This window comes from Homo sapiens, chromosome 14, assembly GCF_000001405.40.
Source record: "Homo sapiens chromosome 14, GRCh38.p14 Primary Assembly".
NCBI lineage: Eukaryota > Metazoa > Chordata > Mammalia > Primates > Hominidae > Homo > Homo sapiens.
The window spans coordinates 59465464-59484444 of record NC_000014.9 but is presented as its reverse complement, the minus strand read 5'-3'; the positions used below and the strand labels follow the sequence as shown (position 1 = coordinate 59484444).

The window sequence follows — 18981 nt, the reverse complement described above, 5'->3', positions numbered from 1 at the left end:
AGGCTCCGAGACCCCGCCCCCCGGACGTGGCTGGTTAGCGTCCCGCCCTCCTCCCGCGGAGTCAGTGGGTGAGGGTCGGGCTTGAAGCCATAGCTGCGGGACCGTACTCGTCTCCCCCGACGCAGACCATGGAGAGCGCGCTGGCGGTGCCCCGGCTGCCCCCGCATGATCCAGGGACGCCGGTGCTGTCGGTGGTGGACATGCACACGGGCGGCGAGCCCTTGCGTATCGTGCTGGCGGGGTGTCCGGAGGTGTCTGGGCCCACCCTGCTGGCCAAGCGGCGCTACATGCGCCAGCACCTTGACCACGTGCGGCGACGGCTCATGTTCGAGCCCCGAGGGCACCGGGACATGTACGGGGCGGTCCTAGTCCCGAGCGAGCTGCCGGACGCGCATCTGGGCGTCCTGTTCCTGCACAACGAGGGCTACAGCTCCATGTGCGGCCACGCAGTGCTGGCGCTGGGCCGCTTCGCTTTGGACTTCGGGCTTGTGCCGGCGCCCCCTGCGGGCACCCGCGAGGCCCGCGTCAATATCCACTGCCCCTGCGGGCTGGTGACCGCCTTCGTGGCATGCGAGGACGGCCGCAGCCACGGACCGGTGCGCTTCCACAGCGTCCCGGCCTTCGTGCTGGCCACAGGTAATGGGCGGGACCTTTCCAGCCCAGGGCAGAGCTGCAACCGGGACGCGACTAACTACATTAACGGTTTTTCTGGGCTGGAACTCTGGCAACTAACCTACTCCGCGAAACCTTGCAATTAATAGAAAGGTAAATCACTGCCAACGTGTGTCAGCAGCCTTGCGTATTTGGTGCGTGTAATTTCGATTTTCCCTGACTCCCATCCGCCTGTGGTTTTGGGAGACCCTTGAGGAGCGAGGAATTGCGTGTTACCCTGACTCAGCGCCTCCCTCTGCACTGGTGAGGCATTCCTAGAGATTTCACCGGTGGATAAAGCAAGGTACGGTGGGGTCAAGGAAAGAGCGAAGAACAGCCAATGTACCAGGGTTCCAGGCTGGCTGAGAATATGCTTGGTAGACACAGAATCACACTTAATAAGTTACTAAACCTGGTCTCCTTTCCTCACCTCCCCCACTTCTTTGAAGAATTAAATGAGAATGAATGAACAAAGCAGTTTATAAATCATTAAGATACGAATGTTGCTTTTCTTTAAGAACAGGAACACACATTGCCTGGTTTCAAATCCTGATAACCCCCTAAAGCTGTGCAACCTTAGGCAAATTACTTAATCTCTCTGTGCCTGTGTTTCTTCTTTTCCCTCATAGAGTTTTTTTGTTAGGATTAAATGAGAGTATGCAAGATACTGTATTCCTGGAGATAGATTGCAAGGTTTATATGATCGCTAAAGTTCCCTAGGCCTATTGAGCCATTAAAAGGTTTTGCTGGATTCTCTAGTACAGATCCTTGTACAGCTTATCATGTAAAGCAGGGCATCTCTATAACCATAACCCTTACAGGAGGGATGACCTGGCAAGCTGGCATCTGGTTTCTCATCAGACTACTACCTCCCAGGAGCTGAATTCTATCAGTAAGAATGCTTTAGTCATTGTGACTGGAAGTGAGCCAGGAGCCAGTTTACCAGGAATAGAGTTATCCTTTTCTTAAAAATCTTCAAGCCATGCAAATCATCTGTTAGAAAGTTGGACCTTGATTCCCCCTGAAGAACTAGGTTTCAGATTAGCCTGATTATGAATGATAACTGATAGAACAGGCACTTTTAGAGCAACCTTAGGCAGCTGAAATCCACGAGTTAACGAAGAATGCCTCTGGAGAAATTGATGCCATTTTCCCAGAGAATGGTGTCACTTCCAGACTGGGAGGCCACTTGAGGGAGACAGAATTTATGTTTACGATTCCATTTTTAAAACCTCAACAGTTTAACTAGCGTGGCTACCAGAATTCCCCCTAGGCAACTCCAGCAGCAGAGTAGAAACACTCTAGACTTCTGTAGGAAATGGCAGCTGGCAGCAGGAACACAAACTACATCTCATTTCTGGGTCAGTTAGGGCAGGGTCAGTCAACCACTTGACCTCAGTAGTTCCTCTCAGTAGTTCCTGAGAGCATCACTGTATGACAGTACAATGATTAGTGGGCATTAATGGTCACTGAGTTAAGAAAATGAAATGCTATATTCTCTACTTTGAAAAATGCATACAAGGCAGACATAGTGTTCAAGGTCACTGCCCCACCTCTCCCCATCTCAGTGACCTTGTGCTAGAGAGTCCATGCCTCAGTATCACAGTCTGCAAAATGAGGATGACAACAGTACCCACCTCAGAGGGTTGCTGAGTTCATCTCCACCCCACCAGGCTAAAATGCAAACTCTTTCTTGTTCACAGTATTCTAAGTGCCTAGAAGAGTAGTCAGTCAATGAATGTTTGTTGAATGAGTAACTAAATAAATGAAATTTGGAGAAGAATATGCTGATTGACAAATGTAAACATCTGGTCCTCTTGAGAAACCTATTGCCACTGGAAATTAAAGTTTTGGCTTTCGAGTCCCTAATCTGTGCCAGGAACTCCCCATACGTGGAATTTTCAAAACAACTCTTTTAGGAGAAATAGCAGTTACAGTTTGCACAAGACACCAAAGCCACACTAATGGCAGAACTAGGGTTGGAACCCTGGCCTATCATATTGCTTCCCTCTCATCCTTAAAATTTTTTGTAGTTTAAGGAGATATGTTTCAATTTTCTAGAATAGTGCTTAGTGTATTTTAAAGCATTTTAAAATCTGTCTTGTCCAACTAAACTCCAAGAAGGGGAAAAGCCTATGTTTTATTCCTTGTACTTCTCGTATCTTCTACAGTAATCGGCACATAGTAGGTGCTCACTAAATCTTGAGCAAAGTAAATCAAATTGAAATTTCAGTGATATGCTTGTATAGAAGAAAAGAAAAACCCTTAGATTTTGGATTGTGTTCTGGATAGAGGTTGTATATTTTAGTAGAAAGGGTTTGGGCTTTGGAGTCACCTGGTCCTGGGTTTGACCCCAAGCTCTGCCACTTATTTAGTGGGTAAACCAGGGAATAATGTAAAGATAGTAAGTAAAACAGTACCTACCTCTCAGGGCTGTAGTAATTAAGGCACTAATGTAATGAATTAAGGGGCTAGTGTATGTAAAGACCTGCCACATAGGAAGTACTCATGGGTGAAATAAATATCTTAATTTTTAATGTTAGTAATTTAGTGATTAAAAAATGAAATAGTCACAGATAATTGGTGGACAAGAGTAACTTTAAAGGAAATTTGGTCCATTTTAAAGAAAAGGAAACTGAAACTCAGTGAGGTGTAGCACCCTACCCAACTGCCCACCCTAAGAAAACCAGACCCAAGATTCTAGAAAGGTTGGGCCAGGGAAATGATTGTAGGCTCAGGGATGACTTCTCCTGAACCAGCTTCCCAATTTCATCCTGGTCCCGGGATTGGTGGCCAATGCCCCATTTAGTTGTTACAATCAAGGGAAGAGGGCAGGCCGACTGAACCCTGGGACCGTCACCTGTGTCTCCTGGTAAGTGCTGATCTTCACCCTCACTTTAGCTTTCCACCTTCCAGCAGTCCCTCATTTCTATCAACTTGCCCATTCTCTTTTCATTAAACTTGCTTTTCATGTTGCGCCAGCATCAAGATAAAGACATTTTTTATTCAGTTTTGTTGTTACAATCCACAGCATGTTTTACTCTTTTGATTATAAACTTGCTCTGTTTTAACACATCATGGGTTAAAAGGGCTTCTGTGGACTAGTGTGGACTAATAGCATACTGATAGCCTTCTGTGGACTGATAGCATACTGATATCTTTGTATGACCTTGTATGAAAACTCAGGAACACAAGATATATTTTCTTTCCCAAAACTTAATTTCTGAAGCTGAAACTCTACTCTGTCCTTTTGGTTCACTTAGCCTCATCACTCCATGTGTTGTCCCCTTTCCTGATATGTGTGAGCAAAGGTTTCTTAAAAGTGCTGTGGCCTTGGAGAGGATGGCACTTCAGTCCTCAGCTTACACAGTTAACCAGCAAAGTGGAGCAGGAGCATTGGCTGCCCCACCCTACCTGGTCCTTGCCCTCTGCACTGCCTCCCCATCCTCTGTTTCTTCACTCCTGCTCCTGTGGTGCCCTGGGGGAAGTTAACACACGTCCTCTCTGCACTAAGGACCTTCAGCCTCCACTCTTCTCAAGGGAGAAAAAATTTATCTCTAGGAGAAATATTTCTCCCTTCAGGACACTCCTTTGCCAACAGATGTCTTTCCCCTGAGAGCTTAGGCTTCCCTAAAATAAAAACATGAAAGACAAGCTTTCTCCCCTGCCATAGGCTTCCCTAAAAGGCAGTGATCACCAAGCTAGCTTAAATTAGGGAAGAGGAAAATTTGAGAAGGGGCGAAATAAACATCACCCAGCCCCCTTTCTTTGGAAATACAGATTCAAGATTTCAAACTACTGACCTTCAGGTGAAACTTTGGGGATGTTGAGACTTAAAATGCTCAAATAAAAACCCTGGTGCAAAATGATGCTGTAGCAGTCAATGATTCTACAATGGCATTTTTCTGTGTTTGCCTGCAGGATACCTTAAGGAGATGAAAACATGTAGATAAGTGTATATAATTTATATAGAAAAATCTTTTATTAAAATTTATGTTTTGACATTACGGCTGAAGAAAATTGATTTGTAAATAGGATCCAAGACCCTCACTATTTTAAACCATCTCTCATAGTACAAGTGGGGAATAGACATTTTCCTTCTTAGTGTTCACAGGGATGCCCTTGGGTTTCCCTCTCTCGGCCTCAGGGGTGTTTCCTAGAAAAGATCCTCAGGGAAGTTAATGAATATGTCTGTATGAGTTAGGGAAAGCATGGCTTTAGTTTATAACTTCTGCAATCATCAAGTTAAAAATAGAATGATGCATCTAGCTATTATTCACTCGATGCTTATTCATTTAAAAAACGGATTTTTACTTCATTATTTTTATGATAGGAAAAGAACATCCCTCTTGAAAAATAAACATATTAAAAATCCTTTGAATTTTATTGCTAAAATACTTATTAACAAACACATCTTCTTTCCAAACACATCTTTTTTTTAGATCTCATGGTGGATGTTCCTGGACATGGAAAGGTGATGGTGGACATTGCATATGGCGGTGCATTTTATGCATTTGTTACTGCTGAAAAGTTAGGACTAGACATTTGTTCTGCAAAGACCAGGGACCTTGTGGATGCAGCGAGTGCAGTGACAGAGGCAGTGAAAGCTCAGGTCAGTAATACTCTGCCTTCATAACCAATTCCCTTCTCTGTGGCATGGAGGAAATATACATTATTATGTCTATAAAGAAAATTAAATGATGTTTAAATTATTAATAGTACTAAGAATAGGGTACTTATTAAAATCTTAGGCTCTAGAGCAAGCTTGTCCCACCCGTGGCCTGTGAGCCACATGCAGCCCAGGATGGCTTTGAATGTGGCCCAACACAAATTTTGTAAACTTTCTTAAAACATTATGAGTTTTTTTGCAATTTTTTTTTAGCTCATCAGCTCTCGTTAGTGTTAGTGTATCTTATGTGTGGCCCAAGACAATTCTTCTCCCAGTGTGGCCCAGAGAAGCCAAAAGATTGGACATTCCTGCTCTAGAGCAAAACTATCTATGAGTTCTAGCTTTACCACTGGTAACGTATATAACCTTGGGCAAGTTACGTAACCTCCATATGCCTCAGTTTTCCTGTCTGCAAAATGGAAATTAAAAAATACCTGCTTTGTAGGGTTGTGAGAATGAAATAAGTCAATACATGTAAAGGACTTAGAGTAGTGTCTGGCCAATAGTAAATGTTCAGTAAATGATAATATTATTTTTTTTGAGACAGGGTCTTGCTCTGTCACCCAGGCTGTAGTGCAGTGGTGTGATCATAGCTTACTGTAACTTCAAATTCCCAGGCTCAAAATGATGCTTCTGCCTCAGCCTCCAGAGTAACTGGGACCACAGGCATGCCCCATCACACCCAGCTAAATCTGTGTTTGTGTGAGTGTGTGTGTGTGTTTATATAGAGACAGGATGTCACTATGTTGCCCAGGATGGCCTCAAACTCCTGGCCTCAAGTGATTCTCCCAGCTCGGCCTCCCAAAGTGTTGGGATTACAGGTGTGAGCCACCACACCTAGCAGTTACTAAATTTAATAATACATACATACTAATATAGTTTATAGTTCCTTAAATGTGTAGAAATATATTTATAGAATTCTGCAAATTTTAAATGCATGTGTGTGGTCATTCTGTTAAACTTGAAAATAATAAATGTAAAATATAGTGTACAGAATAGATTTAAGCCTTTTTCTTATTTCATAGAGAACATTAATTCCTATTATTTTTTTCCTACATTGCTAAGAAGTTACTCAAATAACTACTTAAATAACTCTAGTTTTTACTTGGGAAAGCTAATTTGATAAAATCAGTTTAGATAATAATTCTAGGATATTCTTTCACTTCTAGCACGAGTGAAGCACATTTTACCTTGAAATTGGGACCTATAAATAAAACACATGTACAGTATTTGAATGTTTAGTACGTGAGAATTTAGTATGTGAGAATTTATTAGTAGTAAAAAGTAACTTGTGTAAGATAGTGTCTAATGTACGAATAATTATCATTTTCTGAAGCTTTATTTTAAAATAATTTATAACTTAAAATGAGAATATACACTGTATCAGTATTCTAAATTATTTTTCTGGTACTGCCAGTACCAATATGTGCAATTATATTATGATAGCAACTTTTGAAGCTCTGAATTTACATCAGTTTTCTGTTCCATTAAGCAGGACAGCTAATAGTCTGAGTTAACAATTTGGCACAAAATAATTTCTCCTAATTTTTCATGAATTCAAGAGAAAAAGTCATGGATATCTTAATAAAAGGTGTAATTTTGTACTTCTCATTTGAGTTTGAACTCAACAAGATGGCAAGGGGTGGACTTTGAGGGAGGAAGGATTCTGAGAAAAATGAGGACAAGTTCTGTTATTGATGTATCAGACAGTACAATTAATTACTCTGTGAACTGTTGACTATTCACACTGCTGAAGCAGATTTAGGAAAAGGCCATGGGGATGGAGAGTTAAAGTTAATATAAATTCATCTTAATTCATTCACTCTTTTAACAAACATTTACCACAAACATACTGTATATATGTTAGACATTCTGCTAGATCCTGGAGACTCGAAGAAAGAACAAACCCCACCTTTGAGGAGCTAGCTCCAGTTGGGGAAGCGAGCATACCTGTGAACAGTGTTATGTTGGAATGTGCTATAGTGGAGGTGGGGCGTATCACTTTAAGAGGATGGAGAACAAAGATTCAATCTGCAGGCCGCTTTAACTTGGTTTCAGATGGACTCTTTGGATGTTAAGAACCCAAAGCTGTTCCATTGCTTTAAATGACATGTAACTGGAAGTAGAAAGTACTAATTGTAAGCATATACAAGGGAAGTCAGATTATAGCAATCTCAGTCATACTGTAAATGTTTGCAGAAATCCAGGAAAAGTTAAAGAACTAGACTTCCAAGAACAAGTAGCTTTGCATATTTGGGCCTGAATCTACCATTGAGTGACTTAGCTACCCTGCCAGTGCCTGCTTCTTTGTGTGCATATCTGCTGCTTTTTGATGAATCAACTGACTTCATCGTCTACAATAAATCTTTTTTTCCTCCAATTGTTTCTCTTGCCTAATAGTTTCTGCATTCTTACAGAATGTTATATCCTCTCACAGCCTTTGTCTCTATCATTGGTGTTAACTTCAGCTCTAGATACTCAGAGCCTGATTTTCCCACATTATCCTCCTTAAGCTCCTGAGAATAAGACTATGATTGCCTTAGCTCATCCTGTTTGAGCAGCCATCGCCAGCCTGTGGATTGACCATCCTGGGGTCAGTGCTGCAAAGACTATGTGTATTTGGGGTGGGAGGGGTGTATAAAATAGGACTGCTTTTTTAGCAAAGGCTATATGCAGGACAGCTTCCTTAGAAGGGACTCAAAGTATGATAAGAATTATAAATTGCAGTAAAACTATGTTTCTTCATCTAGACAAAGACATAATTTCTAGCAATTAGTATACGTTGCCCAAAAAGGTATTTTAAAAATGATAAGGATTAAAAAGTTATGTCTAAGAATGACCCATCTGCATTATTTATAAATTTGAATCAAAATATTTATTTTGCATGTGATCTTTTTTTGTTACTTGCAGTTTAAAATTAATCATCCTGATAGTGAAGACCTTGCCTTTTTATATGGAACTATATTAACAGATGGAAAAGATGCTTATACCAAGGAACCAACCACCAACATTTGTGTTTTTGCAGATGAACAGGTATTAAAACTGTAATGTTTAGGGACAAAAGCCAGGTAATATGGAACACACTATGAACATTCTGTCTTCATTTATTCTGAAACAGGTTGACAGAAGTCCCACTGGCTCAGGAGTGACAGCCCGAATTGCCTTACAGTATCACAAAGGGCTTCTGGAACTGAACCAGATGAGAGCCTTCAAAAGCAGTGCAACTGGCTCAGTATTCACAGGGAAAGCTGTGAGGGTAAGTGGCACCCTTAGCTTCTTATTTATAAATGTGTCACTCATGAGACTGGAGAGGCCTGAGTTGGGTGTTTGATAAATTTCTTCACTCAGCTCTCAGAAGAGAATTTTAAAGCAGGCCTGTAAAAACTTCTTTTCAACTAGGACATTGGTTATCCAGTGTGGTCTTGGGGCCCCAGCGGGCCCCTAAGGTCCTTTCCATGGGTTCAGAGGGTCAAAACTGTGTTCATAATAATGACATTATTTGCTTTTCACTCTCATTCTCTCAAGAGTGTACAGTGGGGTTCTTCAGAGGCTACGATGTGATATGTGATAACCCAACCAATTGAATGCAGAAGCTAGATATGAGAACCTAGTTGTCTTCTGTTAAGCCAGACATGAAACAGGTTTGCAAAAATATCAAACAATGCCACTTTTCTCATAATTTTTTTTGTTTTGGCAAACAGTTATTTTCACAAAAATGTGTTATTCATATGTTAATGTATAATGGGTTATTTTTAAAATGAAGTAATGAACAGATATATCCAATTCCTAATACAGTAAATATTGATAGATATAACTTATATAAAGAAAAACTCTTTGGGGTCCTCAAATCTTAAGGTATAAAAGGGTCCTAAGACCAAAAGGTTTGAGAACCATTAGGATTTGGGGTTTTTTTTTGTTTTTTTGTTTTATTTTATAATAGTGTTTTATTTGATATAATAGGATGTGAAAGCCCTGAAAAGTTGTGGAACATCAAATTTTTGTAATGGAATAAAATTTTAAATGTGCTAACAGCTAAGTAATGAATCTTATCTCAGTAGTAAATGAAATCTACTACAGAATGATCTACATTCAGTAAATTATTCTACTCATAAAGAGTCCTTTAACATAGCAAACAATCTATCCTAATATAGCTGTTTTTAAGATTTGGTGTTTCTGAATATTAGAGTTTCCTTAAGGATCTCTACATCATATAGTGATCTGAAACATGTGAAACCATTTATGTTGTATGCAAAAATTTGGAACATACTGTCTTCAAAATCTGAAATGGAACATAAAAATAACAACATACATTTATTGGATACTTCACTGTGCATCAGTTTCCAAGCTAAGCACTTGATACATGCCATCTCATTTAATCCTCACAAGAATCCTACAAGGTCAGTACTGTGCTGTTATTATCGTTTTTCAATAGATGATAAAACGGAGAATTGGAGAAGTTAGGTAATTTACCAGAGGTTAGTTAGTGAGTAGCAGATCCAGGTCATGAAGGTGGGTCTCTGAACAGACCACATGCTGTTAAGCATTATATTATATTGCTGTCAGACAAAGCAAAAGGTCAATGAGGCTTTATATTATAGGAGCTGTTATGAGAAGAATCTGGGATTGCAATGTCCCCCCAAATAGAGAGGGAGCCGAGAGACCAAAGAATGACTCAGACAAGTCCAGGTTGGCAAGTAGATGCATTTATTAGAACTTCCATATAAGGCACTCCTGGGAAGCAGCTGAACAACTGTGGAGACCCATCCTGCCTCCTGACTCTAAGCTGCTTTTAAGCTAATTTTCTGGCTCTTTGCCTACTGTGTATGTGTGATAGGACTGTTTTCCTTGGTATGTTCCCAGATATTCTCTGGGATATTTGGGTTCTCAGGGATACCTGCTTCTTGGCTGGGCACCATGCCCTTGGCTTACCCCCCAGCCTTCAGGGTTCAAGCAGTGGACATACACCCTTACATAACCTGGTGAAGGACCTGTCACACTACAGCAGCTTTATAAAAAGATATAAAAAGATAAAGTATTATACCCTAACAATATTTGACATTTTACCTTTAGCTTCAGTTATTATTCTTTTAAAAATTAGAACATAAAAAGATATGCTGAAGTTAATGTTTCCAGTTACTTGTTTTATAGTTATTGATCATGCTTGCCAGAATGTCTTCACTTGCATCATGCTCTCTCCCTGTCTGTGTGGGCCCGTCCAGGCTCCCTGATGGTACCTTCTCAGTTTCTTCCCCTGCTGCAGCTTCCTTTCCCTGTCCTTCCATTTAGATGTTACCGTCACTTCATCCCCACCTTCCTTCTCATCTCTTCTACAGTTTGATGCTGCTGGGCAATTTCATCCACTTCCTAGGCTTCAGTTCTCAACCATCTACTGATGATGACTCCCAAATGTTTATCCCTGCCCTGACTACCTACCCTGTATGTCTTTCTGAATATAACGCTCTTAATCCCAACTGTTTATTATACTCATCTCTAAATGACTGTCCCAGAGGTGTCTCAAACTCACCTTGTTAAAAAGTTCTTCCTTTCTTCCTTTCTCAAATGTGCTCTTCCTTTCTCTCCCCATTGTGTTTAATGGCATCACTAGCATCATTTCCAAGCTAGAAACTATGGTTATAATTAACTTATTGCTAGTCCTCAATTCCCACATGCATTGATCAAGAGGCCTATCAGTTCTACCTCCAAACTATCTCTATGTTAGTATATATTCCCCTTCTCCATCTTCACTGAAAACTCCCATAGTGACTCTGGAATCAATCATTCAGTGAATTGAGGTTATCTCTTAACATGTTTCTGGGTCTCTTGTCTCTCTCTTCTCCAGTTTGATCCCCACTTTACAGCTACAGTTATCTAAAACACAAGTCTGACCATGTCATTCTCCTTAAAAACCTTCCCTGGCCCATAGGATTAACCCTTGGCCTTTCCTTCACATGATAAAAGTCAAGAGTACAGTTTTCAAGCCAGATATAATACGAGTGCAATATTTTGATAGTATACTCCCTTCATCTTTTTTCAGGAAGCGAAATGTGGTGATTTTAAAGCTGTTATAGTGGAAGTATCAGGACAAGCCCATTACACGGGTACAGCAAGCTTTATAATAGAAGATGACGACCCATTGAGGGATGGATTTCTTCTCAAGTGACTTCTTCCATGATTTTAAGGGCTTTCTTTTTAAAGTAATCATTATCCTTAAGGACTGTTTTCTCTAAATTATATGAAAACAAATAAATTATACATATAAACTAACTCTCATTCTTTGTAAAATACTACCCTGTGGCTAAATATAAAGTCATTATACCTCGTATTTGCAACTGTATTTGTATAAATATCACTTATGTCTAGCATACAAAATGCCAGAAATTCAGAGTCTTTTTCTAGTGATTAACGTATCAGGTAAAATTAAAACAGTAGTTACTTTTAAAATATTGCTCTATAGTAATTACTATTAATATCATATTTTGTATTAAAGGCTCTTCGAATAATATGTGGAATTTAACTGAACTTTACAAGCTCATTATTTTTGTCTTCCATTTTTTTGAGTAGAATAATGCCCTCTCTATAAGCAGCATGTAAAGGAGATGGATTATTATAAAGTACTCAACACTTAGCACAACAGCCTGGGAAGGATGGGGCTGGAGTCAGCTTCTTTGTTATAGCTGCTGCCAGGGTGTTCTCTGTGGCACAAAGCCCAGCTTCTACATCCACAGGTACTGAAGTATCAGAGACTGATGCTGAGAAGACCAACTAGTAATCAGACTTTTGCTATATCTTCAGGGCTTTTATAAAAGGGGTTGCTTATTGCATTATTAAAATACAGATATACAGTAGAAATTAAGCAGTGAATCCTTACAATGGAATGAGTCTCATACTCTATCAGCTGCATGCTAGGTAGATTTAAAACATGAAATAAATGCTTACTATTGGCATTCCTTCTAGTTAATACTTCCTATGAGCCTGTTAAAAATAGCTGAAGCATTAAAATATTCTAAGATGTGACGCTCCCTGAGAATTCAGTAGAGTCTTTTGTGAGATAGGTAATAGTATTTTATTTTGGAGCATCCAGAAACTGAAGTAATTAATTCATTTAACAGGCTTTATCACCCAGAGAGTCTGTATAGGCCTTATTATTAGGTCTGTGATTTAATTACCTGAACAAAAGGAAAGCTATCATGTTAATGTTTATTTCTCTGTTACACAAAAACAGGATGTTTTTCACTCATTCTCCACAGAATTCTGTGGTAAATAAATCACTTATCTCAAAAAAAATGACATCACTAACAATATGACCAAATAATTTTTGCAGATCAGATTTGCTATACTTTTTAAAAAAAATAAAAACAGAACCAGTATTTTCCCTCCAAATCTCACAAGTCACATGAATTTGAAGGAAATTGTTTAAAAATTACATTTTGTAGCATTTTATAATCTATCAGGTACATACTGAAGTACATTCAGAAATGCATGATTCCATGGCCATCAGGGTAGGGGGTAGTTTTACTCACTGACCTCATTTAGAATTGTCAGCATTTGGTGATAATTTTTAAAAAGACTTTTAGTTGATTTTATTATTGTTCTAAAATTCTCTAAAGACAGCACACCCCTTTATCAACTCCACCAGGGGAAACTATTCCTGCCCTACCCGTGGTATGCCACTGTTTTTATCCCATTTATACATTTAAGGGAGATGCAAGTCGAACATGTTAAATAACTCTCCTAAGGTCATTTAGAGGCTGCAAATCTAGGAGTTCCGACTCCAAGTCTAGTATTTTCCTACAACACTTCCTCCAGTTCTAAGATAGGATGGCCATAACTTGGTCTAGGATATAGTACTTTAATAAGAATGTTATATTTCTTGAACATTAAACAATAGCTATTACCTAAGTCTTCCTAAATTTCAATCCAAACCAGAGCTGAACTCTTGCAATAGTGTTCATTCCTGCTGTACTTCACCCTGGTTCCCTTGAACTAAAAAACATTAGGGAAATCAACTCCTCCTCCTCTGACCTCCACATGTCTAGTCAGTCACAAAGCCCTGTTGATTCTGCCTTCTCAATACTGCTCACATCTATCCCTTCCCATCTCAGTGAGGGTCTTGCCTCATCAATTAACCTTTTTCAGGTGTCTCCAGTCTCCTGCCCTCCCCCCCCCCCCGCCCCCAGCCACCCCCACACTGGTTCCTTCTCTTAAGTATTTAAATGTGCTAATTGTAAACAAAATGAAACAAACATCCCTGTCCCTCCTTCCCTCTGTGGATGGCTGTCACTGCTAACTCCTTCCCTTGGTATTTAAGCTTCTAGATTCCTTACTGTCTCCTCATTGGGAACATTTTCTCACCTTCCATTTTGCTATTCAACTACTGCAATCTGGCTTCTACCTCATTACTCATTAGAAACTTTACCTAATTGCCAGGTCTTATGGTTTATGCAATCCATGGTGGCCCCCGCTGCTTGCTCCCTGCAGGTAGGTGTGGTCCATTTTAGAACAGGCAACTCTAGTCCCTTGGTGCTGAGCTCACCCACAGAACCACTCAGTTAGGCTTATGAGGTTAGTACCCAGTCCCCATTAGTGCCCGCCAAAGTGCTGCAATTGTATGGGCCCAGGCCCATCTCCTCTTCATCATGAACTCACAATGCACTTTGCTCCAAGTCCTCCAGACTCAGTAAGAGTTAGGTCACCCTTCTCTTCAATCCTGAAAGACACAGATAGCATACTACCTCTCTTTAGGACACTGTTCTTCATACTTCAATGTGCATGTGAATCACCTGGGAATCTTAGATTCTCATTCATCAGACACGGGGTGGGGCATTTCTAACAAGCTCTCAGGCGATGCTAATGTTGCTGGTTGGAGTACTGTGAGTAGCAAACTTTTGGATGAGCCTATTTTAATTACCTGTTTGGGTAATCCTGGCTGGCAACTTCTCCTCTAAGCTCTGAAACACATGAAAAGCCTGTTAGCTCTCCACCTGGAGGTAAAGGATAGCGCTCACAAGTACGTTCCTCATAAAAGGCTGGGAAAATTGCCTTACCTTCTTTTCTGAAAACCAAAAACATAAAACAGCTGATTTCTCAATAGACCATTGTGCCTCATTAACTGTATCATTCACCTGCCTAGCTTTGCTTTCTTTATCTGCTTCTTAACTTTTATTACTCCCTAGCATTCCATCCATGGTCCTTTTCTTTCTTCCCTGACTACTCTGTCCTTAAATTGTCACATTCATTCCCATGGTTTTCCCTCTTGTAGAGAGACTAACCACATCCACATCCCTAATTTCTGAGGTCTAAGGCCATACTGTAGATTCAGTACTTAGAGGACAACCAAGATCATTTTCCCCCTAGACTGTGGCCCTCTTCCCATATTTCCTAACTTGATTAATGGCACCACCATCCACCAAGCTAGGGACTTGGGATTGACCCTTGGCTCCTATTCACAATCTTTGTCCTCTTTGTTGATGCTCCTGAGGTGGATAGCTGTGGATTTCTCCAGCCATCATGCCTTTCCCCTTCTTTTACCCCCCAACCTTTTTTTTTTTTTTTTTTTTTTTTTTTTTAATGAGATGGAGTCTCACTCTGTCGCCAGGGCGAGAGTGCAGTTGGCATGATCTTGGCTCACTGCAACCTCTGCTTCCCGGGTTCAAGCGATTCTCCTGCCTCAGCCTCCTGAGTAGCTGGGATTACAGGTGCCTGCCACTACGTTCAGCTAATTTTTTTGTATTTTTAGTAGAGACGGGATTTCACCCTGTTGGCCAGGCTGGCCTTGAACTCCTGATCTCGTGATTCACCCACCTTGGCCTCCCAAAGTGCTGGGATTACAGGCATGAGCCACCGCGCCTGGCCTCCCCTTCTTTTATCAACAGCATTCTCCTTTTTCTTTGGGAAACTACCTGCATGTAGTCTTGCTAGGACTGCTGGGAAACTGGTACACCAGTCAAGACTTTTTCCCCCAGACCTGAGATCTTGAGAAATGACATAAGGTCTGAAAACTGAAGTTGATCTGTTCCAATGGTGGCCTAAAGAGATCACTCCCATCAGTTTCTGCTCTCCCTACCCACAGGACTGCTCTGACTTCTCTTCTTCTTGGAGCTGCTGTTAGACTGTCCTTTTGTAAATGGAACTTCCCCTGTCCTTCCAGTAAATTCCTATATTGCTTATGTGAACCAGTGTCCTCATGTGTTACTTACGCCCAGAGAATCCTAATCCATATACTACCTACCCTAATCTATACATGACCTCTCCTTCTTCACTGCAAAGGTCCACTTCAGACTCTCACTTTTCACCTGGACTGTTAGAATGCCTCTCCTTAAGTGGTCTCCTAAATTCCAGATTCTCCTCTTACAGTTACTCAAAAAATATTTTTTTGTATGTTGGCATTTGTATAGCAGTTTGTTAGAGTGCTAAGTGCTGGGGATCTCATAAAATAAACAGGCAAGGTTTAGGTCCTCATATAGTATAGAGTGGGAGGCAGGTAATGCTTAGATAATCACGCAAAAAATTATAGACCATGGTTATGTGCTACAATGGAAAATACAGAGTGCTGTGAAACTAACAGGGGAACATGGCCCAATACGTGGGGAAAGGACGGTATCAGTCAAGGGAGGCTTCCCCCATGGACTAACCTTAACGCGAAGATGGGGATGCTAGGGAAGGGAAGAAGAAGATGGAGCTTTCCAGGCAGAGGGGATAGCAAGTGCAAACACCCTAAGATGGAAGGTTTAAGGAAGTCATAAAAGCCAAGTGTGGCAGGAACACAGAAAAAAGAAGGAAAGTGGTACCGAATGAGACTAGAGAGGAAGCAGGGTCAAATCATGCAGTGCCTTGTAGGAAATATTAAGGATTGGGGTCCTTATTCTAAAATAAATGGGGAAAGCCAATAGGATTTTTTTTAAAAGAGACATGGTCTCACTATGTTGCCCAGGCTGGCCTGTAACTACTGGGCTCATACGATCCTCCCTCCTCAGCTTCCTAAGTACCTGGGACTACAGGCACATGCCACTACACTGGCCTAATTAGAAGAGTTTAAATAAGTAAGTGGCATGAAGAATTTTTTTAAGAGCATTATGCCTAGCTGCCTACAATGTAGGAACTGGATGTGGGAAGACCGGTTAGGACAACAGTGACAACAGTAGTCCAAAGAGAGGATGAGAGCCAAGATTCAGGATGGAGGAGATGAATGGATGCAAAGATAGTCCGCAACTAAAATCCATAGGTCTTGGTTGATGAATTGGATGTGGACTGGTGGTAAGGAGGAGGGATTCATCAAGGAAAACTCTTAAGTTTTTGGCTTAAAAGCTAGAAGGATGGTTCTACCATATTCTGAGATACAGAGTATTGAAGACCAAGTTTTACCGGGGAAGTAGGAAGAAGATCATGCACCCATTTGATGTGCCACTGGCACATCAAGGAGAGAGATGCCAAGTAGCAGGACATGTAGGTTGGGGCCACAGACATAATTTGAGTAATGAATATATAGATTATCTTTGAAGTCCTGGATGTGAGTGAGATGGGGCCGAGGGGGGAGTCCAGAGGAGCTGAGAACAGGGCTTTGATGAACTCCAGCATGTAAAGGCAGGTGGAAGAGGATGAACTGGCAGAGGAGAGGACACTGAGAAAGATGAGGAAGGAAGGAAGCAGAAGAGTGCAGTCCTTCTGGTCCTTCTGAACCATGCACTTGCTCACGGCCCTCCCTTATGCTATTAGCCCCTCCTCCCCTGATGAAGTTCAGTCTCCAGAGCATGGCCTACAAGGCCCATCATAAGGTAGCCCCAATAAACTTTGATCATTTATTTCCTTCTTCACTCCCCATCTCCAATATCCTAGAATTCAGACACTGCTCACTTCAACACTAACCTCCAGACTTTGCACATTCATCAAATGTTCTTTCCCTTTCTTCTTTTTTTAAAAAGTCTAATGTCACCTCTTGTACAAAGTCTTTGTCAGGAAGACAAATAATTTCACTCACATATTTTTAAGACAATATTTAGCACACTGTAATATACTGTGTTGGCCGGTGGCTTAAGCTTATTTGGGCTGGGTTTCCTATCTTATATGTTGTTTCCTAAAACTAAGCACAATCTGAGAAGATTGTGTTTGCCAAATAAATTAATGTATGATAATTATATTTTTGCTTTGATTGACAAAATTAAGACAAAATCAGTCTAGATTAAGCTGGCATTGACTGCTCCCAAGAGGATATTTGGCAATATCTGAAGACAGTTTTAGTTGTCACAGCTGGGAGAGGTGCTACTGGCATCTCGTAGGTAGGAACTAGGGATGCTGCTGAACATCATACAATGTATAGATGGCCCCTGCAATAAAGAATTATCTGGCCCAAAAGTCCATGACGCTTAGGCTGACAAACCCAGTTTTGGTTTGCCACCTTAAACGTTCTTCTATTTATACTGTAAATTTCCTGTAGGATATTTTTTCTGAATGAAATAAGCACTCCAATACTAATACCATTGATTCTAAGATCTACAAATATACTAGTCATTCTTTAGAGCAGTGTTTCTCAAATTTGTGCATCAGAATCACTGGGAGGGCTTGTTAAAACATAGGTGCCTGGGCCCCACCACAGGAGTTTCAGTAGATCAGGGGTATCCTATGCACTGTAGGCCTGATAATTTGTATTTCTCAAGGTTTCCAGGGGATGTTGATGCTGCTGGTCCAATGTCCATACTCTGTGAACCACTGCTTTAGCGAAGAGCCCAGGGTTAGTTAACCTGAGGGTTTATCACACTTTTCCCCATTAGAGGCCATGCCCAGAAACTTGAGATGCAACTTCCCTGGGTAGCCCTGCCTTTCTTTTCCCCGTATCTCCCAGCCAGGTACCTGGAGCTGCATCTGTGGTGATTGCCAGGCTGGCAGCACCTTAGACTCAAAACATACCCCATTCCTGAGAACAGATGAAGGCTGCTAGCAGGGCAAGGCACCAATCCCTCTCCCCCCATTTATCAGCCAGTAGGGGCCTGAGGTCCAGGCCCTTGGAAATGAAGTAACATCTAAAGGAACTATCCTAGCTCCTCAGAGCACCTGTATCAGAATCACCTACGGGGTTTAGAGTCATGGGCCCATCCTTAGTAATTCTGTCAGCCTGGGAATCTGCATTTTATGAAACTCTTGACATCAGTGCTTCTGTAAGTGTGGTCCTGGGACCAGCATCATCATCACCACCCGCGAACCCGTTAGAGATACAAATTCTTGGGTACTTCCCCAGACATATTCGAAACGCTGGGGTTCAGACCTCGTCACTTGTATTTTAACACGCCCTCTATGTGAATTCTGTTAGCTCAAGTTTGAGAATTACTGGTTTAAATTAGTCTGCTTCTCAAGTTTAAGATGTCTGGATGTAGACTTCTGGATTTTTCTTTCACTTCACTTTCTAGATTCCTTTCCTACCTGTATATACCAAAAGCACCCACAGGAAGCAGAGTGCCCCCCCCACCACTCCCCAAAAGGCCTGCCTGTAGAACATTTGTACCCTACAAAAGAGAGCAAGAGTGAACTTTCGTTGAATCTGGTCATTTGTTTGCATGCCAGTCGGCACTTTATCTGGCCGGACATTGGTCCCTCAGGAGGTCGACCTGGCACTCTCGGAAACCCGAACACCCGGGCCGGTAACCTCCGGAGTGGCGGTGTCGCGGGTCGGC

At 41.3% G+C, this 18981-nt stretch overlaps 1 protein-coding gene across 14 annotated transcripts in view, besides 1 other annotated feature; it reads left to right on the top strand.

The window, feature by feature from the left end:
• The window catches only part of L3HYPDH (trans-L-3-hydroxyproline dehydratase), a 39796-nt gene extending 20829 nt beyond the window's left edge, over nucleotides 1-18967 (top strand). The window contains exons 1-6 of one of the 14 annotated variants that reach the window (XR_007063979.1): nucleotides 37-636; nucleotides 5094-5263; nucleotides 8231-8353; nucleotides 8439-8576; nucleotides 9919-10006; nucleotides 11355-11839. Coding sequence is in view for 8 of the 14 variants with exons in the window: in NM_144581.2 (NP_653182.1) it covers nucleotides 129-636; nucleotides 5094-5263; nucleotides 8231-8353; nucleotides 8439-8576; nucleotides 11355-11480 (1065 nt within the window). In the remaining 6 variants the exon portion in view is untranslated. Of the gene's footprint in view, nucleotides 1-36; nucleotides 766-869; nucleotides 956-5093; nucleotides 5264-8230; nucleotides 8354-8438; nucleotides 11840-18717 lie in introns of those variants that run through there. The other 13 variants (NR_138572.2, XR_943383.3, NR_138574.2 and 10 more) reach the window with 13 other exon arrangements.
• Nucleotides 3478-3577: an enhancer, noted in NCBI's record as "active region_8460". NCBI's record gives its function as "activates an Ori minimal core promoter by ATAC-STARR-seq in GM12878 lymphoblastoid cells {active_cell/tissue: GM12878}" and the evidence as "EXISTENCE:reporter gene assay evidence [ECO:0000049][PMID:35858748]".